The sequence below is a fragment of the Homo sapiens genome, chromosome 5 (genome assembly GCF_000001405.40).
Source record: "Homo sapiens chromosome 5, GRCh38.p14 Primary Assembly".
NCBI classification, from domain to species: Eukaryota; Metazoa; Chordata; class Mammalia; order Primates; family Hominidae; genus Homo; species Homo sapiens.
The window spans coordinates 32,396,107-32,423,366 of NC_000005.10; the positions used below are offsets into that span (position 1 = coordinate 32,396,107).

Sequence of the window (27,260 nt, forward strand, 5' to 3'; positions counted from 1 at the left end):
TACTTGGGAGGCTGCGGTGGGAGGATCACTGGAGCCCGGGAGGTTGCAGTGAGCCATGTTCATGTCATCGTACTCCAGCCTGGGCAACAGAGCAAGGCCCTATCTCAAAAAAAAAAAAAAGGCAGGCAAATTTTTGACTGCGTGAGGGGCCCCTGACCTCCATGTTGTTCAAGGGTCAACTGTAACTGTTTATAAACAGATGACTCTAAATGTCTATGTTGGGGTTAAAAAGTTTCTTTACATATTTAAGTACTACCCTTTTACACTGTTTTAATTTTCACCTCCTCCGTGTTTAAAACAGAAAACATGGATCTAGTACATCAATCTAGCCTAGTTAAAAACTTCAAATACAGGCCAGGCACGGTGGCTCACGCATGTAATCCCAGCACTTTGGGAGGCCAAGGAGGGCGGATCATGAGGTCAGGAGTTCAGGCCAACCTGGCCAACATGGTGAAACCCCATCTCTACTAAAAATACAAAAATTAGCTGGGCATGGGGGTGCATGCCTGTAATCCCAGCTACTCGGGAGGCGGAGACAGGAGAAATGCCTGAACAGGGACCCAGGAAGCAGAGGCTGCAGTGAGCCGAGATCATGCCACTGCACTCCAGCCTTGGCTACAGAGCGAGACTCCATCTCATTAAAAAAAAAAACTTCAAATACAATATCTGATTTATCTTAACATTTGAAGTGTATTCAGTGAAGAATTCCTACGCTAAGATAAGTGAAGGGATTTTCCAACATATCAACTCATCTCAAAGTTCATTTTGGTGGGAATTCTACCAGATAAAGAAGGTGGATAAATAGTTGAGACTTTTTTCAAACATTTTATGTGAATTAATTATCTTTACATGATTGCTTGGTCCAGGCAATGCTTCAGTTTTTGCCACAATTACTAAAACTGATGAGAATGTTATTCTTCTTTATTTTAAAAATGGATAAATAAAAACCAAACATCCATCTGAGTCTACCAACATGACATGCTAATCTTAGAATGGGACATCATGGACTTGGCAAGCTGTGTTTAGATGCTTTCTTTTACATAAAGAATGCTCTGGGTGTTTTTGTTTTTGTTTTTTGTTTTAAAGAAGGTAATAGCTGAAATTTTACTCACTTTATATTGAAGTCTGTGTCTTCGCCCTTTTAAGTGCATCTCCTTAGCATTGGGATCATTAAAGCTGCACTCGCATAATTTACAATGGAACCGAATTACTTTTCCTTCATCATTTCGTACCTTGGTGTGGAAAAAAAATTCAAGAATCATCATAGTTGAAGATTATATCATTCATAAACCCCCACATATTATTTGATGAAGTTGTACACAGTTAGAAAGAAGTGGCAATGTCTATTACATTTTTTTTTTCCCCAGGACAGAGTCTTGCTCTGTCGCCCATGCTGGAGTGCAGTGGTTTGAACTCAGCTCACTACAACCTCAGCCTCCTGGGTTCAAGCGATTCTCCCGCCTCAGCCACCCAAGTAGCTGGGATTAAAGGTATGTAACACCACCACGACCGGCTAATTTGTTTTTTGTATTTTTAGTAGAGACAGGGTTTCACCATGTTGGCCAGGCTGGTCTCAAACTCCTTGTGATCCGCCCACCTTGGCCTCCCAAAGTGCTGGGATTACAGGCATGAGCCACTGCGCCTGGCCTATTACTTTTTAAAAGGATAGAAACTGTAGAAATGGGAATGAAAAGTTGGAATTTTAGCATGCAAGATGTGATAGCATGTGTTTGCTCTTGTATCTTTTTTTTTTTTTTTTTTTTTTTTTTGAGATGGAGTCTTGCTCTGTCGCTCAGGCTGGAGTGCAGTGGTGCGATCTCGGCTCACTGCCAGCTCCGCCTCCTGGGTTCACACCATTCTCCTGCCTCAGCCTTCCGAGTAGCTGGGACTACAGGTGCCCACCACCACGCCCAGCTAATTTTGTATTTTTAGTAGAGATGGGGGTTTCACCGTGTTAGCCAGGATGGTCTTGATCTCCTGACCTCGTGATCCGCCCGCCTCGGCCTCCCAAAGTGCTAGGATTACAGGCGTGAGCCACCATGCCTGGCCACTATCTTTCAATTTAATATTTTTGTATGTATGTAAGCATTTAGATTTAAATGTAGCTAGATGTCTTAAATTTTCTAATAGTTACTGAATAATTGCTGCTGGCCAAGTATTGTTCTTGAAAATGAAGATAACGACGAATAATAGCATTATTTTGGTATACAAAATTTCTCAAAGCTCAAGGTTTTATAATATGTAACTTTATGGAAAATTAAGATGAAATTTTTTCTAACTGAACAGTTATAGGAGGACAAGTAAACTTGAGTCTTACTATGAAGTCTATTATGAATACTGAGTTCAAATTGTCCAAGCTTTAAGATAGGTTCTGAATGTAATTCTCTGAAGTTTAGGATTAAACAGTATCATCAAAAATTGGGTGTTCTGGTTGAGAGCTTTTTTTGAGATAATCAAATCTTACTCCTTTAAGAGATGAAACTTAAAAGTCAGAATTATTTCTGAACTAATTATAAATTCCATAACCCAGCTATCCACCTTGTAAACAAAGAATTCAATACACAATTTTTCTTTTTCTTGTTTTCTTTTCTTTTTTGTGAGACAGAGTCTCACTCTATTGCCCAGGCTGGAGTACAGTTGTGTGATCTCGGCTCACTGCAACCTCCACCTCCCAGGTTCAAGTGATTGTGCCTCAGCGTCCCGAGTAGCTGGGATTACAAGTGTGCGCAACTACTGGCCTTGAACTTCTGGCCTCAAGTGATTCACCCACCTCGGCCTCCCAAAGTGCTGCAATTACAGGCGTGAGCCACTGTGCCTGGCCATCCATAGATAATTTTTCTTGATAGGAAAAATGATGCAAGAACAAATATTTATTTAAAACCTACTAGGCTAGGCGCAGTGTCTCACGCCTGTAATCACAGCACTTTGGAAGGCCGAGGCAGGCAGATCATGAGGTCAGGAGTTCGAGACCAGCCTGGCCAACATAGTGAAACCCCATCTACTAAAAAAAATACAAAAATCAGCTGGGGGTGGTGGCATGCACCTGTAATCCCAGCTACTTGGGAGGCTGAGGCAGAAGAATTGCTTGAACCCAGGAGGCAGAGGTTGCAGTGAGCCAAGACTGTGTCACTACACTCCAGCCTGGGTGGCAGAATAAGACTCTGTCTCAAACAAAAACAAAAACAAAAACAAAAACAAAAACAAAAACTCTCCTAGATGCTAGACACCATGCTAGGTACTTTATTTCATCTACTCTTCACAACTTTGTTAGGGAATATCCCAATTTTATAGATATCGACACTGAAGCTCAAAAAACATATATGCTCTAAAGTCAAAGTAAATAGTAGTCATATGCCACTGTATGTCTTTCTGCTAACAGCAGGTATTTATCCAGTCCCCTCTGATATCCCTTCACTCCTTTATTTTACTGAGTTTACTTTACCTGTAAAACAGCAACAGTCTTCTACTCCACTTGAGAAACCAAATGAATATATTCTGTTAAATCAGCAAACTTAATTTTATCACAAAACTGACTATTCAAAAATAAATATATTGGTTCTCTTTATCAACATTTTTGCTGCTCAGAACTTTTAAAGTTTTATGATAGTTGAAGGATGTATTACAAGAATGCTTGCTAGTAAATAGAAAGTTACTTTGCACACCACAGTGGCAATACACAGGGAAAATAATATAAAAGTTAGCAAAAAAAAAATCATTATGATGTCACTTAGGCAGGCTTAAAGGACATGCTTTCTTATAACAAAGATTCCTTTAATATTCTTTAAGTAAGCTAAATCTAAAATACAATTAAGTATATTTAATTTTACACGTAACATATGCTCGTAATGCACTTCTTCCCTTTATCCAATTTCACAGCAATGGTATTCTCAAATCAATTACCTCTTCCACATAATCATGGCCCACTGGCTGCACATCACTCTGTAAAGCAGCAAGAGATGCAGGTGTGACTGGTTCTGACACTGTGTCTTGCTTTACTTCAGGAATCTGCACAGCAGAAGTGACAGGAGTACTTTTAACACATTCGGTTCCTTTTATGTCTTCTGCTTTATTTCCTGTTGACTGCAGCTTATTACCACCTAGAAAAGTATCAAAAAGTTAAAAAAAATTTTATTTTTGTATAAATATATATACCTGATAAGACGAAAACTTCAGATAAAGTTCTTTTCTGCTAATAGTCAAACTCCTAACTGACATACAACAGATGAGAATTTTGAAGAACTACATAAACTACTTGGCTTTTTTACCCTATTAGTGAAATACGTTTCTGAATTTTTCTCTTTTCCATCTTGGAACACCCAACACCCTCCTCATCCCCCCTCAAAGTGAATAGCAAGTACCTGAAATGGTAAGGACTAAGCCTAATTGATGTTTGTAGCCCTAGTTTCTTGGCAAGTGACTGAAATGAGTAGTATTTGTTCCTTAAAAACTGCTAACTTCCAGTTGGGTGTGATGGCTTATGCCCTATGATCCCAGCACTGTGGGAGGCAGAGGTGGGAGGATCACTTGAGCCCAGGAGTTTGAGCCTAGAAGTTTGAGACCAGCCGGGGGAACATGGCAAAACCTGGTCACTACAAAAATTAGCTGGATGTGATGGTGCATGCCTGCAGTCCTAGCTACTTGTGGGGCTGAGGTGGAAGGACTGCTTGAGCCTAAGAGGTAGAGGCTGCAGTGAGCTGAGATCGCACCACTGCACTCCAGGCCTGGTCAGACCCTGTCTCCCAAAAAAGTTGGGGGTAACATCTAGGTCATGCCCTACAATTTAGAAAAATTAAAAAAAGTTAAGTTCAATGATTAGGTCTCTCTGCAAACTTAGTCCAAACAAAGTTTCCCACCAGGGAAGGAAACAGAACCAATTTAGGTTTTATCACTGTTTATTTCCTTTAACTTATTTACAAAAGATTTTCTATTATTGTTCTAAACTGAAAGTATGAAGAACCTCAGAAACTGATGTAGAAGTGACTATAAATAATAGCTTTCATTTTTATCATCAATTAAACTTAACACTTCAACTAACTGTCCAAGAGAATAGCATGTTAATTGTGAATCTCCTACTTTTAAACTTTTCTTTCAAAAATATTCTTAAGTATCTACAACAATCTGGATACGGCGCTAAGTTCTGGTAATACAGTAAAGAGAAGACAATGTAGCTGCCTTTCAAGTGTCCAATTTATGGGAAGATACAAATAACGATAATACAATGTGATAAGCACTATAAGAAGTATGGACTGAATATTGCGGAAATTTAGAAGGAGCCACCACCCTTTAACATGATCCAGTAAGGAAAGGTTTCACAAAGGGTGTGACACTTGAACTGGGATTTGAAAGAATATGAACTGGTCAGAAAGAAAAGAATGACGTTTAAAAAGAAAAAAATAGCATGTACATAAAAGCACAGCAACATGGTGTGAAAAAGGCTATGGTAAACTCAAGGAAGAGCCAGTAATTCAATATGAATTACTACACAGGTAGCATGGATGAGTTATGAGGCTGGAAAGGTAGGCATGGGTCAGGTAATGATGGGCCTTATATGACAAATGAGGACTACAGATTTTATCCTATTGCAGTGGAAGGCTGCTGAGCAGAAGACTAACACAATAGATATGTATTTTAATGAAATAAGAGTGTGGAGAATATGTTGAGATTGGGTACAGTAAGAAATAAAGCTCCAAGGAAGAGACTTTTAAGGCCTAAAAAAGGGCAATGGCAACGAAGAAGTTTTTGTAGAAATATTATAGAGATAGAAACAAGACTAGGTAAACAGCTGGAGAAGGCAATAAAAACAAAGAAATAATGTTAGTGGATTTTCCACTTCAGAAATCTGCAATTTTATGACATTATTTCATGGTACTCTTCTCATGAATTAATGGGTTAGAATGAGACACATTGGGAGGCATCCACACCGCCATATAAAAGATGTCCAGGGAATATTTAAAATGTGGCTGTCCAACTCAGGTGGGGGTTTTGAATTTACCAGAAAGATTTTAAAAGTCACTGCCCACATGGGAATGAATGAGACCACCCATTAATAGAGGCGGACAGTGAGACGAGGGCCAGGGTTATAATCTTAGTAACACTACCATTTAATGAACACATAGGCAGGAGAACCAATAAGGAAAACTGAGAAAGGGGTGGATGGACACATAATTGAGAGACAGAGATGTATCTTAAGCCTAAAGGTGTAGCAGTCAACTGTGTCAAGTATTAGGAGAGTCAATAGGATGAAACTGAAAACTGGCCACTGGATTGGCAATTAGGTCTTTGGTGACTACTGAAAGCAGCTTCAGAAAAAGGCAGAGTAGAAACACTATAGCAGACTGAGGATTGGGTAGGAAGTACAGACGTAGAGAAAAAATCAGGGCCATGCGTTGTGGTGCATGCTTATAACCCAAGCACTTTGGAAGTTGAGGCAGGCAGCTCACCTGAGCTCAGGAGAATTCGAGATCAGTCTGGGCAATGTGGTGAAACCCCATCTCTACCAAAAAAAAGAAAAAAAAAAAAAAACTGGCTGTGTGTGATGGAGCACAGCTATAGTCCCAGCTACTCAGGAGACTGAGGTGGGCGGATCGCTTGAGCCCTGGAAATTGAGGCTGCAGTGAGCCAAGATCGTGCTACTGCACTCCAGCCTCGGTGACAGAGTGGGGCTCTGTCTCAAAAATGAAAAAAAAAAAAACAAAAAAAACCAATCAGGTTACCTTAAGATTAGAGAAATGGGAAAAGGGTCTTTGTGTGTGCAGATCTTTTTTTTTTAAATGACTAGAGGAAGACACAGATATATCTGTATGGCTGAAGGGAAGAAACCAGTAGACGATGGAATAAAAATTAAAAATACACACACACTAGGCAGATATGTGAAGAAACAAGGTCCCAGAGAGAAGGGAGGAGGCAGGTCCAAGAACACAGGGAGAAGGGTTAGTGCTGCAATGGAGAAGAAACAACACTTTGACAGAGTCAGCAGGGACAGAGAATATCAGTACTTGCCAACAAAATTTATTTTGGGGGTAGATGTTTTCTTGGCAGCCATATTTGTAGGCACTGCTGATACTTTAGTGTTAGATGTGCTATTAAGAGACGAGTTTCCTGTAGTCGTAAGACCCTTCATTGAAGACGTTGCAACTGATGACGTATTCACAGTACAATTGTTTGCTGCAATGCTTGAAGGAGAGGCAGTCGGCTTTGAAGCAGATACAGCTGTTGAAGAAGTAGCTTGGCTAACAACATTTGGTTCTGTTGATGGAATGGGTTTACCAAGTTTTGTGTGTAACTTAACCACCTATAAAACAAAAGCACACTTATTTGTCAGGAAACTCAAATAGATTTTGAAAAGTCTGCCTGGAACATTATAAAATGAAAATCTAAACCATGCTTTTCTTTGTTGTATTTTTTCTGCTATATGTTTTTGTATATACACACATATACAAAACTCATTACTTTCAAGATAATCTCTGTGAAGCAAATATGCATACATATTCCATCTACTATTAGGTGAGGAAACTGAGGTAGAGAAAGATGAACAGACTTGGCTACATTAAAAATGATCACATGACAATTCCCAGTTAGTGAAATAAATGGTTTAGTTCAATTTAAAGACAGGTCTCCAGTCTTTCCCTCTTTTAGCAATGATTATTTGATGTCACCTTTATGTATTATTAGCACATAAGCAAGGCTTATAATGCACTTAAAAGTTTTCGAACTTTGAAGTTACCTTTACCTAACCCCCTTTGAAAAAGTAAAAGATAACAGAATCAAGGCATAAGGGTGTGTGGGAAAAAAACACCTACTTTCTGATGCTTAGCACCACGAATGTGGGCAGCATACGCATCTGCTCCTGTACAAGACACATCGCAGAGCTCACAACGTAGCTGATTTTGAGTCCCACGAGTAGAACTGTTGCTGCTGCTGGTATTTTGTGAGGCTTTCAATGCAGCTTCTTTTTTTTTATGTTTCTGTCCTTCTAAATGTTCTTTATAAGTCTGTTTCAAATAAAAAGGAAACATTTTGCTTCACTAATTTTCTTTACACATTAAGATTATTCAATTCTCAAGAAATCTCTAATACTCATCTAAAAATGAGACCAAAACAAACTTTTTAAGTTGAAAAAGGGCATGTGGCATTCGTTACATATGTGACATATCTATGGTTCTCTGTATCTTGTTTATCAAGAATATTATCTAACACTGAGTTACAAAGTACTTTCATATATAGCCATAATATAAGGCAATGGCTTTCAGTTTTAAAAATTTTATCTTTTGTTGCTTATATAAATGTTGGACAGAGAATAATAGACAGTGATCATTCCATAAAGAAATTATATTTAGTTACAGGGTTAAGATGAGGCGGGGGAGATGTGCCTATACCATTAGAAGAAAGAAAAAGTTACTGTATGGTGGAACAAGATTCTTTACAAACAGCTATGTTTATAAAACTGACTTTTCTAATTCAGAATACATTTTGACATAGAATCTGTATTAGAATCCATGGCCCTTAAATGAATGCTTATTTAAAATACATGAGGGCCAATATGGTATATACTTGCAAGCAAAAATAGTATTATAGTTACATTAGCCAATAAATAGTGAAATTACATATTAAAAATCATTGTGAATGCACATGATTGAGGAAGGCTGTTAATTAATACGAGAGGATATTAGTAAGAACAACTGGACAGTTTTGTGAGTAGGACCAAATGGTTCCTCTGTTACTCTTTTTTTGAGATGGGTCTCACTCTGTTACCCAGGCTTCAGTGCGGTGGCACAATCTTGGGTCACCGCAATCTCCACCTCCCAGGCTCATGTGATCCTCCCACCTTAGACTCCTGAGTAGCTGGGACCACAGGTGCCTGCCACCATGCGTAGCTCATTTTTCATATTTTTGGTAAAGATGGGATTTGGCCATGTTGCCCAGGCTGGTCTCAAACTCTCTTTTTAAAAACTGCCTCTTAAAAGACAGTTGTAAACTGACAAATAATTAGCATACAATTATATGTTCATCATACAATTCAGAGCTGGATGGGACTTTCCTTTCATTATCTGCAGTGGCCTGAAATAGCTCCACCAAGCAGTCTGAGCCTCAATTATTTAGGGCAAGTCCTGTTATAGAAAAGTGAGGAAATAAAAGCCCAAAGAAGTTAAGGTCTCTAAATTGCCCAAGGTTATATAGCTAGTGGCAGAGCCAGGACTGCAATCTTGGCCCCCAAAAGCTGAATCAACTTACTCTTTTCCTTCTTATGTACGCATCTAGAACTCTAACTCAATCTCAATGATATTTTTCGCTAAGGCTCATTAACCACCCCCTTAAGGTACTGACACTGACTTGCAGAAATACCTGTGGCCTGTTCTTTTTGTTAACCACCCAGCACAGCAAAAATAGCCAGCCTTATATGCACTCATTCCACATGCTGCTGTTAATCTATCACCCAAGCGTCACGCTGTATACTTTCATATAAGCCAGGTAATCAATAAATTTCTTATGTCCAAGTCTGGCACTCATGACACTAACCCCTCTGAACAGTCAACATAGAGTAGGAAATGCTCCTTAAATACTAAGACCGCCCATCATTCTTGTTCGCTTTCATGTTTACTCCAGGTCCCTGCAAACATTTCCTACCTGTGCCACACCTGCCTCCCGTCACCTCCTGCCAACCAAGCAATCCACAACAAAACTATTTCCTGCCATACTCAAAACAGGGGAAAAGAGGGTTTTATATATCTAGCCACATATATTAAAATGTTCTGTAATTTGGTATAACTCAGGGAATGTTAGAAACTGAAAATACCCCCCAAAATTCAGAAGTAGAGAAAACTAATCCAGTAAAGTAAACGTGTTACACAGGTAGGGCAAATGAGAGATGGATATAACTTGGAGAAGCTAGTAGAGAGTCAAAATTGGTTGTTTCCAAATAACATGCCTTTTATCTGCCAAGCTGTTTATCAAATTTTAATATAAAAAGTTGACACTCTTAAGCATAATAATAAGGCTGGGAGTTGAATCCATTAATTTTAATAAATAGAATCATGTCATAATCACCCGTTTTAATGTTTAGCAACCAGAAACAATACAATACCGAAAAAGGAATAAGGGTTTTACATTTACATGCCTCACTAATTGGTATTTTTGAAAAAGACACTTCTTTACACCTTCCTTGTTCCCGAAGTTCCTACTCCCCTTATGAGATTACAGAAATAACTAACATACTATAAAGTATATATCAAAGTCAGTCTCATTAGAAATGCAATCCTGAAAATTATAGATTATCAGTAACCTGCTATATTAAGTTAAAGAATTTTGAATAAAGGCTTTGGCAAGTAAGTTACAGATGCTAAAAACACAACGAAATAAAAATTCAATCTTACCCAAGTCGCAATTAATTTGACTACAAAATTTTAAAACTAAATTTAAGTTTTAAAGAACAAAGTCTCTTTCCGGAAAAAAAAGCTCAATTTGCCTATTTATCATTTACAGTCACAATCATCTTTACAGTTTTTTTTTCCCTGAAAATTCTCATGCCACAATACAAGTAACTTAAAAAATGCACTGGCTAAAAGCTAACAGGAAAAAATGTAAACCTCTTTTAGTAGGCTCAGGAGTTAGAATACCAACTACACTTAATAACCACTGAAGACTCAAGGTAAAACATACAACGTAAGTACCTGTGGTCCAGCACAGCTGATCTTACAAACATCACAATAGTGAATCTGTGGTGGTTTGGGAGGCTGTTTTGGTTTCAGTTGTTTATTTTGGAATGGTGCTTTTTTAGTAAAGGTGGTCCCTGTCCAGGCAGCTGTTGCAGCAGCAGCAGCAGCTGCTGCTGCTGCCTGCTTCTGTTGCTGCTGCTGCTGTTGATAGTAGGAAGATGCAGCTGAATACACTGCTGCTTCATAACCTGAATAAGACGTACCTTACAAATAAAAATCAAACAAAAATTATGTTACATACTTATAGAAGGACAAGTTAAAATTTACAAATTTAAATTAAATTAATCCTGCCAATAAAGATAGATTTACATGTGCATATTTACAAACGTATATCTCACAGAACCAGAAAAAAGCTTATTTTCCTTCTAAGAAAGTCATCAACTAGTATTTACTCAATATATGCCAGGTGTTATAGAGGTATAAAGACAGTGTAAAATTTGGTCCCTGCCTTGAAGAACCTTATAGTTTAATTGGAGAGATGTGATAGTGTGTTTGACAAACTTGTCTGTTTATAGAATCTGCTAATATGTCCCCAAATAAAATCCTGTGAACAAAATTTAGGAAGTGTTGGATTTGAGGAAGAATCTGAAGTAGGATACTAGATAGGAAAAACAAAAACTCATGAAAGTAAGATTTGACATGCTTGGTAGCTAAGAGGACAAAAGAGATAAAAGAAGAGGAAAACATACAAATGTGACACTAAAATCTGGAGCCCCAGTGATCAACTGATGGGCTGTGCAACTGCTAGAATCAAGAAGCTGACAGATGCTAGTCTGGGGAGGCAAGGTAAATAAAGTTTAGCAGAAGTTTGTGATGTGGAACTGAAGTTCAGATGAAAATATAGAACAACTGTTAAAGATTTAGGAATTAGGGACCAATACATTGGTTCTCATCTTCCAAAAGATGAAAAAGCATTGTGTTTTCTGGTTAAATGTATGAATTCTACCCATTTCCATTGTTCAGAGACTCCAGTGAATAAGTACATTATGCAAGCTGTTTATATAATATATACATGTTGCTTATGTTCAGTGATTTACAGATTTTTAATCTGTGAACGTGGAGACGGGGTTTCGCCACGTTGCCTAGGCCAGACACAGACACAGCCTTGTATCTGTTTTCCTACAATGCTTTTTATAAGAAATGTACATTTGTTTGCCAGTAGTTATAGGAGAATTTAAGATGCCCTTTAACAGAGTTCCAGAATCTTTAGCCCACCTTTCAGTGCATGCTTTATTTTTATAACTAAGTAGTAAGTTATAACTAAACTTGCCTTTTATTAGTTTTACACTACCTATGTGCAAGTAGAGATTATTTTATGAATATTAAGCTTAACTTGGTGATTTTTATGGTTAAATTTGATCAGTGTTTAAAGGATACTGCAATTTCTAAACCTAATTTTTCTCATATTTAAGGATAGTGATACTTACCTTATAGATCTGTTCTAAAAACTACACTGTGTCTGGCATACTGCTTCCTGTATTGTGAACGTTTGATTAAAAAAAAAAAAAAAAAAAAAAAACTAGAAGAACTATTCTTTCAGCACTGTTGGCCTCTGTTGTCCTTATTCTGCTTCATATTTTCTTAATAGATAATTCATAAAGTTACATTTCTGTGGCATTTGTATAGTTTCTATATAGAAGAACTGAAGTCATTTGGAAAATATCTGTTATAAAGATATTATGTAAAAATCATGATCCTACTTGGTAATAAATCTAAAAACATCTTCATTATTGGTAACTGGACAATTTTATGGCATTTCTCTACAGTAAAATTTAAACTATACATGTTTTTGCCTGTAAGCTTGAAAACATTTGGCTGTGAGCTTGTGTTCTTTTATCACATTCGTAAGTAATAGAGGACGTTTGTAGGACTGCCCAGTAGAGTTTATTAGTTTATAGAAATTTTGTTTTAAGCAATTATCTCAACTGTTTTCTCAATTTTATCTGATCATATACATGCTTTATCACTGATATACAGCTACCTGTTTCTATTTTCATTTCAGATGTTTTCTTGTCTATTATCACACTTTCTATCTTAAAACTTTATATACTATAGTAGCCTAACATAAAAGTCTAAGAAGGCTTTTCTCAAAAGTTGCCTGACTACTTTTCTCCTGGATATGTCTGGTTTTCCACGCATTTTAGCTCTCACCATTCCAATTTATTTTTCCTTCCCTATGTGTACAGACATATTGGAGTTAGGGGGTCCTAAGTCTTTCAGTATTGCAGTCTGCATTTGAGAGACCAAAAAGTTTAATTCTCTGTAAGCAGTTCTTCTGTGCTTTTCTGTCAACTAGGAATCTCTCTCAAGCTTTATATCACTCTTTGCCCATCCATTACCACTTACAGGAATAAGGAAATTTAACTGAAATATGGTGAATAGGCAGTCTACCAAATTTCCAGAGATCTTAGTCTAGAAATGGTCAGTTTACCAGTTTTCAGGTAGGCTTATAAGTAAAATCCACAGCTTTCAAATTTAAAACGTTCTCTTAAATACATTAAATTATCTCTGGATTACTTACAATACCTAATACCATGTAAGTGCTATATAAATGGTTGTTAAGCTGTACTGAGTTTTGTATTATATTTTCTATTCTCCACCGCCCCACCCCCCCATTTTTTTTTTTGCCCAGGCTGGGGTGCAGTGGCGCAATCTCGACTCACTGCAACCTCTGCCTCCCAGGTTCAACCGATTCTTGTACCTCAGCCTCCCAAGTAGCTGGGATTACAGGCGTGTACCACCATACCTGGCTCATTTTTGTATTTTTAGTAGAGACGGGGTTTTACCATGGTGGCCAGGGTGGTCTGAAACTCCTGACTTCAGGTTACCCACCTACCTCGGCCTCTCCAAGTGCTGGGATTACAGGCATGAGCCACCGCACCTGCATCCGAATATTTTCAGTTCATGGTTGATTGAATCCATGGTTGCTGAACCGATGGATACAGAGAGTGACTATATTATAATCTGTTACTCTCATTTCTCTCTTTGAGGCTCACATGGTTTTAAATTTGCCCAATGGGATCCGCTCAAACCAGCTTAGCCAAGCGTGGTGGTGTGCCTGTAGTCCCAGCTACTCAGGAGGCTGAGGCTGCAGTAAACCATGATGATAGTGCCACTACACTCCAGCCTGGGTGACAGAATGAGACCCTGTTTCAAAGAAAAAGAAAAAAAGAAATCTGTGTCTATAAATTAAGTAAAAGCACAGTTTTTGAAAACTAAAATAGTTTCACTTAAAAAGTACTTTTACTAGGTCAGGCTCGTGGAACACTTGAGCTCAGGAGTTCAAGACCAGCCTAGGCAGTGTGGTGAAACCCCATCTCAACTAAAAATACAAAAAATTAGCCCGGTGTGGTGGCATGCACCGAGGCAGGATGGATCATTTGAGCGCAGAAGGTGGAGGTTGCAGTGAGCTGGGATTGTGCCACTCTACTCCAAGCCTGGGTGACACAGCAAGACACTGTCTCCAAAAAAAAAAAAAAAAAAAAAAAAAATGTACTTTCATTATCAAGGCCAGGCGTGGTGGCTCACATCTGTAATCCCAACACTTTGAGAGGCGGAGGTGGGCAGATTGCTTGAGCTCAGGAGTTCGAGACCAGCCTGTGCAACATGGCAAAACCCCATCTATACAAAAAATACAAAAATAAAAAATTAGCCAGGCATGGTGGCTCACGTCTGTAGTCCCAGCTACCTGGGAGGCTGAGGTGGGAGGATCTCTTGAGGTGGAGGTTGCAGTGAGCTGAGATGGTGCCACTGCACTCCAGCCTGGGTGATGGAATGAGACCTAGTCTCAAAAAAAAAATTAATTAGTAAGCTATGATATTAGAAGAGCTGGCATATAGCTTTTAAATGTATGATACCAGAAACAAAAAAAATTAACATTTCAGTAGTAAATTCATCATGCTACAAGTCATCATTTGGTAGGTAGCAATACTCTAGAACTCATTTTACTAAGATAAAGAGAACAGCTGACCAAAATTGTAGCTGCCAAAAATTGCAGATAAAGAACTCAGAAGCCTTAACAATGGTTTCTCTGATTTGGCAACTCTGGACTGTGTATCACATAGTCTTTAAAAAACAGATACTTTATAACTGTTCCAGAACTAGAAATTTATCCTAGGGAAACAAGTGGGCAAATGTACAAATCTTTACATGTAAGGATGTTCTACCTAGTGCTGTTTCCAGTTTCTGTCTCATATACAACTAAATGTCCTCAAATACACACTTTAAAACATAGTACATCCATACAATAAAATACTTTGTGGCCATTAGAATGGTTTCTAAATACCACTGGCATTTATAAGAAATCATGGCTCCTGTGTGACATGGCTGACCGTGACTCTAGGGCAGGGAAAGCTCAAAGTGTATCTGTAATAACTTTCAGTGGCAAAGAGGAAAGATGTGTTCAAAGACGAATGAGAATATGTCAAAAAGACTCAGGAGCTGGTTTGAGCAGATCTCACTGGGCAAATTTAAAACTGTGTGAGCCTCAAAGAGAGAAATGAGAGTAACAGATTATAATATAGTCGCTCTCTGTATCCATCGGTTCAGCAACCATGGATTCAATCAACCATGAACTGAAAATATTCGGAGGCAGGTGCGGTGGCTCATGCCTGTAATCTCAGCACTTGGAGAGGCCGAGGTAGGTGGGTAACCTGAAGTCAGGAGTTTCAGACCAGCTTGGCCACCATGGTAAAACCCCGTCTCTACTAAAAATACAAAAATGAGCCAGGTATGGTGGTACACGCCTGTAACCCCAGCTACTTGGGAGGCTGAGGTACAAGAATCGGTTGAACCTGGGAGGCAGAGGTTGCAGTGAGTCGAGATTGCGCCACTGCACCCCAGCCTGGGCAACAGAGTGAGATGCTGTCTCAAAAAAAAAAAAAAAAATTGAGGGGGGGCGGGGAATAGAAAATATAATACAAAACTCAGTACAGCTTAACAACCATTTATATATAGCACTTACATGGTATTAGGTACTGTAAGTAATCTAGAGATAATTTAACATATTTAAGAGGATGTACGTAGGTTAAAGGCAAATATTATGTCATTTTATATATGTGACTTGAGCATCCACAAATTTTGGTATCAATGGGGGCCCTGGAACCAATCTCCCATGGATAGCAGGGATGACTGTACATTGAATAAAAATGAGTAAGTTCATAGTAATAACAAAAAAAGAAGTGGAAGGAGGGAACTCTAGAGAAGAATGCCTAAGGATCAATGTGAAAGGATTTTGCAACTACCACTGTAGAAATTCATTCAGTTTTCAAAGGATCTACCACCACAGGGTGAAAGACAGTTGAGCAACAGGCCCACAGAGTACTTGTTCATTATAAAGGAAAAAGGTATCTTTATAATGGAGAGATCTGATAGGCACAGCTTTAACCAGTAAAGCCAGCATCAATAGGAATAAACAAACATTACTTATTACATGCTTCTGATGTGATGAAATGGAAGGCTGGTCAAGTAATTTTCTTGTCTAAAAAGTTACCTGAATCTAAACATAAATCATCAGATAAATCCAGATATGGGACATTCTACAAGACAACTGGCCTGAACACTTCAAAAATATCACTATCATGAGAGACAAGATAAAAATAAGGAACTGTTCTACATTAAAGCAAACTAACAAAGAATGGCAACCAAATACAATCCATGATCCTTGACTAGATTCTCAATTTCAAAAACAAAGCACAAGCACAAACATACATACACCAAATACATACAAAGCCCAGCCATTAAATACATTTTTGGACAACTGGACAAATTTATGTATTAGATAGTATAGTATCCATGTTCAATTCCTTTTCATAATGTTGCCATTGTGGCTACATAAAAGAATGTCCTTATTCTTGGGAAATACCTTCTGAAGAATTCAGGGCAAAGTACCATGTCATCTACAACTTGTAAAGCATATTGCTTATAAACTTATATTGCTGAGCCATTTGAAAATAGCCTTTAAGAGAAAGGAGAGATAAAGCAAATTTGAAAAATTATTAATAATTGGTGAACCTAGGTGAATGGCATAAAAAATAGTTCTTGGAACTATTTTTTTCCACTTTTCTGGAGAATTAAAATTTTCTGGGGCGGGCACGGTGGCTCATGCCTGTATTGTAATCCCAGCACTCTGGGAGGCCAAGGTGGGCGGATCACTTGAGGTTAGGAGTTCGAGACCAGCCTGCCAACATGGCGAAACCCTGTCTCTACTAAAAATACAAAAATTAGCCAGGCGTGGTGGCGCACGCTTGTAGTCCCGGCTACTTGGGAGGCTGAGGCAGGAGAATCGCTTAAACCCAAGAGGCAGAGGTTGCAGTGAGCCAAGCTGGTACCACTGCACTCCAGCCGAGGCGACAGAGTGAGACTCTTTTAATCTCAAAAAAAACAAAACAAAACAAAACAAAAAACAAAACAAAACAAAACAAAAAAAACCTGATATAAAAAGTTGGGAAAAAACATTAATCAGAGGTATATATCTATACTTAGTGACACGAAAGGCAATCACAGTAACAATAAAGCAGTTTACAGAATAGCACGTATAAGACAAATGCATTTTTATAAACCGTATTTACACATGTATATTCCATGGAAGAAAAGTAGACAGAGACGTGCACTAAAATGTTAATGACAATTAGTGTCTAGGAGTAGAAATCTAGTGGTTTAACTTTTTTTCTCTTTCTAAAAAAATAGTTTCTAATTTATAAATAATAATATATTACTCATGTAAATAAAAATTATCTTCATACTGTATAGACAACCAGAGAAAGAGAAAGGAAAGGAAGCACATATAAGAGAGAAACAATGAACAGGAAAAGCTACTCTGGTACTTCCTATTTTGTTGAAGCTAATGTGGACATTTAAAAAAAATGTGACTAATCAGATTTCATTGTAATATAATCCTAGTTACAATTATAGCTAGTCAACCAAATAGGGAGAGACAGTAAAGTCCTATCTATCTTAAATGACAGATCTAGGAATCATAAATTCAGTATTTTCTTGAGATCTTAACAAAAGATTTCTTTCCTAAATAAGGAATCTCCTGTACTATGCCTTTAATAGATTATAAAATGTCTTTCTACCATCATTCATACTGGTGAATGATGAGCAGGTCCTCATCATTCACCACTCCAGCCAGAGTTCTCAGATGTTAATGTCTCCTCATTCAATTCATTTCCACCTGGTTGTCCGGTTAACTTACAAATCTGCTCACACCGCTCCATTTCTTAATATAGCCTCTGCAGCTCCCTTTCTGCCCACAAGATAAAGACACACACCATAGCAGAGCACACATGGCTTTACATACTCTGGCACTTCTAGCCTCATCTACTGACATTTACCCCATGTATCCTGTATTCCAGCCACAATGAACTGCAGTTCTCAAACACTCCGTGCATTCCTAATTCATCATTGTATCCCTAGCACCCTAGAGTAAGAGATAAGAAATCTCTGAGAAATAAAAGAGTGTCATTCACAGCATATCTTCTGGGAGGAATACAAAAGCTGAGTCTCTACAAAAAAGGCAATGTGTGATCTTAATCACTGTGAAAATGCAAACTTCCTCAGCTAGAAATTGGCAACAGCAGTGGACACAAAAAGGTTTTAGCCATTGTACCTCTCTGGGAGAAATATATAATTATTTAAGGAAAATAAAGGTACTCTGTTCTTCCAAAAAAGGTGTGTTACATAACCACCATCTTATGGATGTTTAGAAAGGGCTACCCAACATTTCCATGATGAACTATTTCTGATAATAAATAGCTCTTCGAGAGCCAAAATAAACAGAAATAATTTGTCTGTGGTATTCCCTGAGTATTAACCTTGAGTTTTCAATTTCATTTGGAAAAGCAGGAAAGTAAACAATCCTGTAGAAAACTCGGTGTTACTTCCTTTAATTGCAATGCTAAGCCCAAGACTCATAATGAGCCTTAAAACCCCCAAGAACATATTATATTCTTCTAAGATCTTCTCCTCCCCACGCCCCCAAAAAAGCATACAATTTACAGAACAGTCACATTATGTACCTATATTTATGTCTATCAATTAATTTAATTCCTATTATTGGGAGTAAGGTAATTTCAAAGACAATCAAGATAGTTTCTACTAAGTCTCTTCCTAATTTGTTTACTCATTTAAACACAGTTTATCAGTCTTACCAGAATATGTAACTGCTGTGGTACTGTAAGTAGCACTCTGAGTATAGGATGGCACCACAGTAGCCGCAGCTGCTACTGGCTGTACGGTGGAGGATACAGGATAGATGGAGAAAGTAGTGGTAGCTGGACTTGGTGTGGCTGGTTTTATGGCTGTCACTTGTCGAGTTTGCTGGGCTTGAGTATACTGAGTTGCACCTTGGCTGTAACCTGCTTTGGGGGCTGAAGTAGGAAAGAGACATCAGAAAATTAGAAGAGTAAGCCACTATAGTTACTGTACCAGTATCCTTAAAAAGCTGGAAAGAATAGGTACAAACATCATTAACTATAAATTTTATGCCAGCAATTTCTCCTTAGCAAAAGGCATAAAACTCTTATTACCAATATGAATAGAATATACAAATAAATATACTATCTTCTGCCAAATGCTTTCTATGTATTTCCAAAATGATTATTTTGGCAAAACTTACAACTAACTGAAATAGCAGTGCTACCACTAAACAAACTTTTCTGAAAAGGAGTGTGTGTGTGTGTGTGTGTGTGTGTGTGTGCGCGCGCGCGCGCGCGCACTAGTCAGTCTACTTCAGTTAGGCTTAATATTGGAAACAGGACAGAATGAGTTACAATGTACATATTTCAATTCACAGTAAAAACTTCAATGTTTAATCATATGAAACTTGTTCATATACCATTCATTGCATTTTAACTGATTTTTCCATAGTGAACTACAATCTAACAAGGTACTACATAATTTTTCAAATGTCAATAACTTGAATGCAGCTATTCTTAAATGGCTGCCACTGATGTCTGTCAACTTCTTTGCTGCCTCTGACATACTCAAAACAATGTATATTTTGAAAGAGTCTTAGAAGCCTTATGACTAAATTAATAATCACTTGTAAATGATCACTAAAGCACATAAATGTTATTTCTGAAAAAGGCCCAAAATCACGGGGCCAAGCTCATTTTTTGTTCAGTTAAGTAAAAGTACATTAGAACTTTTATCTTTTTTTTTTTTGAGACAGGGTCCCACTCTGTTGCCCAGGCTGAAGTATGATGGTGTGATCATGGCTCACTGCAACCTCAAACTCCTGGACTCAAGTGATCCTCCCACCTCAGCCACTCAAGTAGAACTTATCTGCTTATGAAATTTGATCCATGTAACACAAAAAGATAATACTTTACAGAGATGAGACTAATATCCAAGAGCTAAACAACTTACACAAGTCACAGCAATACCAGAGTTAGACTAAATCAAGATCTTCTCTTAGATAATTTAGCACTCAAGCACAACCTAAGCTTGGTAATTAAACAGGAAGTTTACTATAAATTATTATACACGGAAATCAATAGAGAAGAGACCACAAGGCTGGGCATGGTGGCTCACGCCTGTAATCCCAGCACTTTGGGAGGCCGAAGCGGGCAGATCACCTGAGGTTAGGAGTTCAAGGCCAGCCCAACCAACATGGAGAAACCCTGTCTCTACTAAAAATACAGAATTAGCTGGGCATGGTGGCGCATGCCTGTAATCCCAGCTACTTGAGAGGCTGAGGCAGGAGAATCGCTTGAATCCAGGAGGTGGAGGTTGCGGTGAGCCAAGATTGCACCATTGCACTCCAGCCTGGGCGACAAGAGTGAAACTCCGTCTCAAAAAAAAAAAAAAGAGAAGAGACCACAGGAATAGTCAGATAGTCACTATAATTCAAAACATGTTAAAACCACTTTTAAGGGACTCATAAAATCTTACAACTAGAAGGGGCCCTACTGAAATTTGGGTCAACTACCTCATTTACAGGTAAGAGAACAGAGATAAGAGAGGTAAAAAATCACTTGCCCACATTAGCAATAAAGCCAGTACTGGAAGCCAATTCTACTCTCTTACAATCCAACGCTCTACCCACACCCTCACACCCTTCAAAAATAATTAAAGGAAGTGCCCATTTTTTTTCTTTTTTTTTTTATTATACTTTAAGTTCTAGGGTACATGTGCACAACATGCAGGTTTGTTACATATGTATACATGTGTCATGTTAGTGTGCTGCACCCATTAACTTGTCATTTACATTAGGTGTATCTCCTAGTGCTTTCCCTCCCCCCACCCCAAGAACTGCCCACTTTTCAAAAGCTTTGTTTTAAAAATTATCAAGTCTCTCTCTAAAAAAAAAAAAATCCATCTTTTAAAGTCTGTAAATATACAGGTTTCTTTGCAAACGAAATGCTTCCTAGATTTGAACCATTCTACATACTGTATTTAACATGATTGGTGGCTGATAACAGAACCAACTGTCATTAGCGATCAGAGAAAGATTAATTAAAAATATGGGCCCATTAAAGGGTCTCCACTGGTTACAAAGGCTGTTTGTTGGCAGTATCATATGTTCTGGGCATTTCTGGCAAAGATAAAAATGTGTTCAGAAGTTATCATCACAGGTTCTTTTGCACAGCTTATTTCAGCAGGAATGGACTGTGGGCTGAAAGTCCAGAAATGGAGTACATTTCCAGGAGAGAAAGGCATGATTATGAATTGTGACTCCAAGGCATTTAGTAGGACAGGTCTAGAACCTGCCTCCTAAGATGATGTGATATGAGTTTAGATGGACTCAAAAGCTTATCTTCATTAAACGCAGTAAGTCATATACTTCAATAGTTTACAAAGAAACTCTGTAGGTTAAGAAAACCCACCTGTCTGATAGTAAGTTTCAGCAACAGAAGGCTGAGGTTGGGCAGCGGCAGCTACAGCAGCAGCAGTTGCTGTTGGTTGTTGGTAGTATTGCTTACTATCATAAGCTACAGCAGGAGCTGTGGACCTTACATATGAGTATGAATCCTAAAGAAAAGGAATGAAAGAAAATCTTGCTATGAGACAAGTGGAAGGAAAAAAATACTTACTGTATAGAAGTGCAATAAAGGAAAACAAAACACTAAATACGTAGTTTCATGACAGACCTAAACATAAAAGAATCAAATTAAATACACAGAAGATTCATTTTGTACTTCATTAAAATAATATCAAGGCTGGGTGCGGTGGCTCACGCCTGTAATCCCAGCACTTTGGGAGGCCAAGCCGGGCGGATCATGAGGTAAGCAGATAAAGACCATCCTGGCTAACACGGTGAGACCCCGTCTCTACTAAAAATACAAAAAATTAGCCGGGCATGGTGGCAGGCACCTGTAGTCCCAGCTACTCGGGAGGCTGAGGCAGGAGAATGGCATGAACCCGGGAGGCGGAGGTTGCAGTGAGCCAAGATTGCGCCACTGCACTCCAGCCTGGGCGACAGAGAGAGATTCTGCCTCAAAAAAAAAAAAGAAAAAAAAAAAATCAAAAGCATTTCAAGCAGCATGTTGAACTTTTACAATCAGAACAATCACCAAAACATTTCTAAATAATACTTAAGTAAAAATTAATTTTATTAAAAAAGTCACAGAAGTTTTGCCTTAAAGATGGATCCTACAATATTACAAAAGAACACTTGTGTTACTAAACTTTGTAATTGCTCCTTTTCAGTATTTCTTTTTCAAGAAAGATCAAGGTGAGCTGAGTGAATTCTGGCAGTCCATGAAGTAAAGAGGGGTAGAAAGGTATGTAGGTGAAATGGCTGAAGTAGCAGGTAGGGCCCAGAAAACACTGGGTTTCACAGACACTATTAAAAACAACAAAATTTATTATATTCTGTCTCTGGGCATAAATAATCACACCTCAAAAGGAATTTCATTTAGTAACCTGCCTAAAATTAATAGCAAATACTAATATTGTTGATTTACATTTCAATTTTTTACTGCATAAATTTCTATGCTTTAGAAAGAATATAGCAAAACCAGGGAAAGTTCAGAAGGACCAAAGTTTAAAAAACAGATCCTAAAAGCAAATAAGCAAAAAAACAGATTAAAGAAATTAGGACCAAATTTAATTTAAATAAGCAAGTAGTAATCTAGCACTGTTTTCAAACATAATAAGGAGAATGTAGAATTCCTATAAGACTGAGTAAGAGGCAACTGGATGAATAAGGGCATGATCAATTTTTGTTATAATATGTATTAAAAAAGAACATCTTGACAGGATAAATGTAAAGGGGACAGAATTTCCACCTTTGCTAAGTTTCAAGAAGAAAATATGTAATATGTTTGTCCTGCTCTCAAAATATTCTCAAAATAGGAGACATACCTGTGTTCCAGATGAATAATGCTCTAGTACAAACAAGGGAAGTCTTTTCTATGTCTTCAGTTAAAACAATAACAAACAAACAAACTTGGGGTAAACAATGAAATATTTAACTAGCAATTAATGTGAAAGTTTTTAACAGACAGCTATAAATAATAGAGTCAAATGGACGGGGGGTGAGAGGAAGGATTATTAATACAAAGCTCATTGCAAGGAATTTTTTTTTTTCTTGAGACAGGGTCTCGCTCTGTCACCCAGGCTGGAATGCAATGGCATAATCCTGGCTCACTGCAGCCTCTGCCTCCTGGATTCAAGTGATTCTCGTGCCTCAGCCTCCTGAGTAGCTGGGACTACAGGTGCGCACCACTGCACCCAGCTAATTTTTGTATTTTTAGCAGAGACGGGGTTTCGCCATGTTGGACACGCTGGTCTTGAACTCCTGACCTCAGGTGATCCACCCACCTTGGCCTCTCAAAGTGCTGGGATTACAGGCATGAGCCACCGCGCCCAGCCGGCAAGGAACCTTAATGGTTGGTATGTCCCAAACTACCAAGGAATACTCATTTACTTTTCTCTATCAGTACATGTGTATTTTGGAAGCCCCAAGTTTGAGAAGCAATGGCTAGGGCATTACATTATACACTGAAGACAAAGAAACCCGCACATTCAGGCTACCAAAACTAGTAGTTTTCTTACCTGGTAGTTTTGTGTAGTAGCTGGGGGTGGTGGTGGTGGTGCTTCTTGTTGCCTCTGAGTATAACCATAGTCAGTTGCTGTGTGTGCAGTGGGGTAGCCTCCATAAGCAGCAGCTGTTGCAGCAGCTGCAACAGCTACTGGAGCAGGCCTGGCAACTGCAACTGTGGCGGCTGCTGGTGCATAGGCAGCAGTAACTGTGTGAGCAGCTACTGGAGCCTGATGGACAGTGTAGCTAGCAACTGTAGTTGGATGAGAATAGGCTACACCCGAAGCTGGCTGCTGGCTACATTGTGGAGTACAAGAATAAATATAATACAATTTTAATATCCAGGAGTTAACCAACTTCAATTAAAAGCTATTCAACTGAAATAAAAAGCACATTTTCAAGTAATTTAATGACGGACCACAAAAGGTCAAGTACTTGAACTCAATAAACTTCCTATTCAATATCATATTTATTACTGTTCTGTAATTTTCATTCTTTTTTTTTTAAATTTTCATTCTTTAATCTCAATACATTATATAGTCACACGTTTCAGATCATAGATTGTATCACATAACAGGAATTAAAAACTAGGATAAAAAACAGTATTAGGAAGAAAAGAAAAAACTGACCAAATTAGGAACTTTAGTGTTAGTTACATGTGAAGTTCTTTATTATGTTGTACAGTTTTACAAATCTCTACAAAGAAACCATAAGAAAAATATTCTATTCTAGCCCAATTACAGAAAGAAATTTAAGGTAGAAACTACTGACCAGCTGATTAAAAAATACTTCTGTTGCTTTAGGACAGTTGGTATTCAACTGGGGGAATTTTTCCCCCAGGGGACATATGGCCATATCTGCATATATTTTTGATGACCAAACTGCAGAGGAGGTGGTGATATGTGAGCTACTGGCATCCAGTGGATAGAGGCCAGGGATGCTGTTACAAATCCTACAATGCACAGGACAGCCGTGCATAACAAAGAATTATTTAAAGTATGTCAATAGTGCTGAGGGTTGAGAAGTTCTGTTCCAGGGTACAAAACCTACAATGGAATATCTATTATTTTAGATACATTTTCCAGCTTACAGGGAGCATTTCATTATACAAAGTTACTTTTAAATATATAATAGCATGTTTTGTAAAAGAAGACACAAATCAGATGCTTTGCAATTAAAAACATTTAAACCTCAAAGAGACAAAAACATTTTCCAAAACAGCAATCAAATGAATTTCTAGCTAAAGTTCTTACAGGAATATGTTTATTTTAACTTTTAAACTGAAAGCCTATATCACTAAAACCAAAGGCCTACAGATGTTAGCATATAAAAGTGTATTTCTTGTTCTAGGTTTTCTGAATAATACACTCAATTCCACAAGGTAAAGCCACATTACTAAGGCAGAAACACCTACTAAAAAAAGAAGAGCCCCAACAGTTATTTAGCTGATAGGTTTTAGCTGACCACATTTTAGTATGAGCCAACAACTAAGAATAGCTAAGAGAAAGAAAAAAAAAATGTTGAAGCTGCACTAATTAACTCAGTCTCTGATTAATGGTCTATAGTACAAGGTATTCTGTACTGGTGTGCATAGTAACATAGAAATATAGTATAGAATTAAATTAAAATTTGGGGCTATCATATTTTAACTGTATTAGGGAAAACACTGATAAACTAGGAAGTTCATATTAGATTGTAAGATTCCAAAGGGAATCAATGTGAAGGTCAGAGATATGGGTTTTAATTTCATATAAAAAGGGGAGGACACCTGGAGAAATTCAGTCTAGAAAAGGTGACAGATGCCTTCTAATAGAAGACACTTACTCCATGCTGCTCCAGAGAACAGAACTAGAACCAATAGTTGGAAGTTACAGGGTGGCAGATTTCAGTCCAATATGAAAAAGAAAACAAAAAACAAAAAACAAAAAAAACTTAGAACAGAGTCCAAAGAAACTCATAGAATTTCTATCTGGATGAGGTTTCCATATTTTGATATAAAACTAACATTTTCTACATATATGCCAATATGACAGGAAAAGTTTACATTAAAACAGTGAAAAACTTGTTTGGGAATAACATTTTCTAGGAACAACTCCATATCTGTAAGAAAATGCCAGTAACAGGTCATACTTTTCCAAAATTCCTGGAACTGAAAAAAAAGATACTATTTAAAATACAAATACAACAGGTCTGTGAAACTTGTATTTAACATTTACTAACAGGATAAGATTAAATACATCCAGACTAAACCACCTAAGAGTAATTTTGGTTATATAAAAGACTGTTTCTATTCATCCCACTGCTCCTTATCTAGTATTTGTCCCCAAAACATGTCCTATTAGACAAAAAGCAGGTGGGAATAGGATGGGAATGTTGAGTCAACCAGGAAGCCAATTTAACTTATACTGCCTCTGATCGTCACCCTAAATGTCCATGAGACTCAAGAAGGAATGACCATATGTTCTGGTTAATGCCTACTGCCGGTGTAATTATTACTTTTAGTACTTTTCACTCTCCTACATGTCTCAGTTTGAACAATAAATTATACAGTCACCAGTCCCAGGAAAAGATGAAATATGAAAAAGATGCCAGCAGATTTAGCAATTGCTATTTACACATCCCTGGCATTGTCTAACTCTGCTCTGTATAGCCAGGTCTCTAACCATCATCTGGACTGGAACCATATCTTCTACCAAAAGCATGAGGAAGGCTGGGCATGGTGGCTCACACCAGTAATCCCAGCACTTTGGGAGGCCAAGGCAGCAGGACTGCTTGAAGTCAGGAGTTTGAGACCAGCCTGGGCAACGTAGAAAGACCACATCTCTACAGAAAATTTTTTAAAAATTAGCCACACATGGTAGTGTGTGCCTGTAGTCCCAGCTAGTCAGGAGGCTGAGGTGGGAGGATCGCTTGAGCAGAGGAGGTTGAGGCTACGGTGAACCATGATTGTGCCACTGCACTCCAGCCTGGATGACAGAGTAAAACCTGTCTCAAAAAAAAAAAAAAAAAAAAAAAAGGAAGCCAAGAAACACTTCAAGCATCAGACATAAATGGAAGAGTACTTTCCCTGAGGAGAAACAGGAAAAGAAAGCACGTAAGCAATTATTACAGAGTACACACACTCTATATTCTTACTCAAGAAATGGCCAGCTCCTTACCTACTTATCAACAACAACAAAAAGTGAGCCAGGGACTCACTACAAAAAATAAGACTTTCAAGACTTCCAGGCAATCTTACTGCTTAAAAAAATAACAGTCAAGCTGGGCACGGAATACCTGTAATCCCAGCACTTTGGGAGGCCAAGAAGGCTGGATCTTGAGTTTGAGACCAGACTTGGCAACATAGTGAGACTCCATCACTACAAAAAACACAAAAATTAGCCGCGTGTCGTGGCATGCATCTGTAGTCTCAGGTATTTGGGTGGCTGAGACAGGAGGATCACTTGAGCCCAGGAGGCAGAGGTTGCAGTGAGCTGAGATCATACCACTGCAAGCCTGAGCAACAGAGTGAGACCCCTGTCTCAAAAAAAATTTTTTTTAAATTTAAAAAAATTTTTAAA

At 38.1% G+C, this 27,260-nt stretch overlaps 1 protein-coding gene across 2 annotated transcripts in view; it reads right to left on the reverse strand.

The window, feature by feature from the left end:
* ZFR (zinc finger RNA binding protein) overlaps positions 1–27,260 on the reverse strand; it is a 90,391-nt gene that overhangs the window by 41,757 nt on the left and 21,374 nt on the right. For both annotated transcript variants that reach the window (NR_144318.2, NM_016107.5), the window contains exons 3-10: positions 23,715–23,997; positions 21,542–21,686; positions 18,863–19,081; positions 10,668–10,915; positions 7,800–7,991; positions 7,000–7,291; positions 3,901–4,097; positions 1,113–1,232 (exon numbers count right to left, since the gene is read on the reverse strand). Coding sequence is in view for 1 of the 2 variants with exons in the window: in NM_016107.5 (NP_057191.2) it covers positions 1,113–1,232; positions 3,901–4,097; positions 7,000–7,291; positions 7,800–7,991; positions 10,668–10,915; positions 18,863–19,081; positions 21,542–21,686; positions 23,715–23,997 (1,696 nt within the window). In the remaining variant the exon portion in view is untranslated. The remainder of the gene's footprint in view (positions 1–1,112; positions 1,233–3,900; positions 4,098–6,999; positions 7,292–7,799; positions 7,992–10,667; positions 10,916–18,862; positions 19,082–21,541; positions 21,687–23,714; positions 23,998–27,260) is intronic.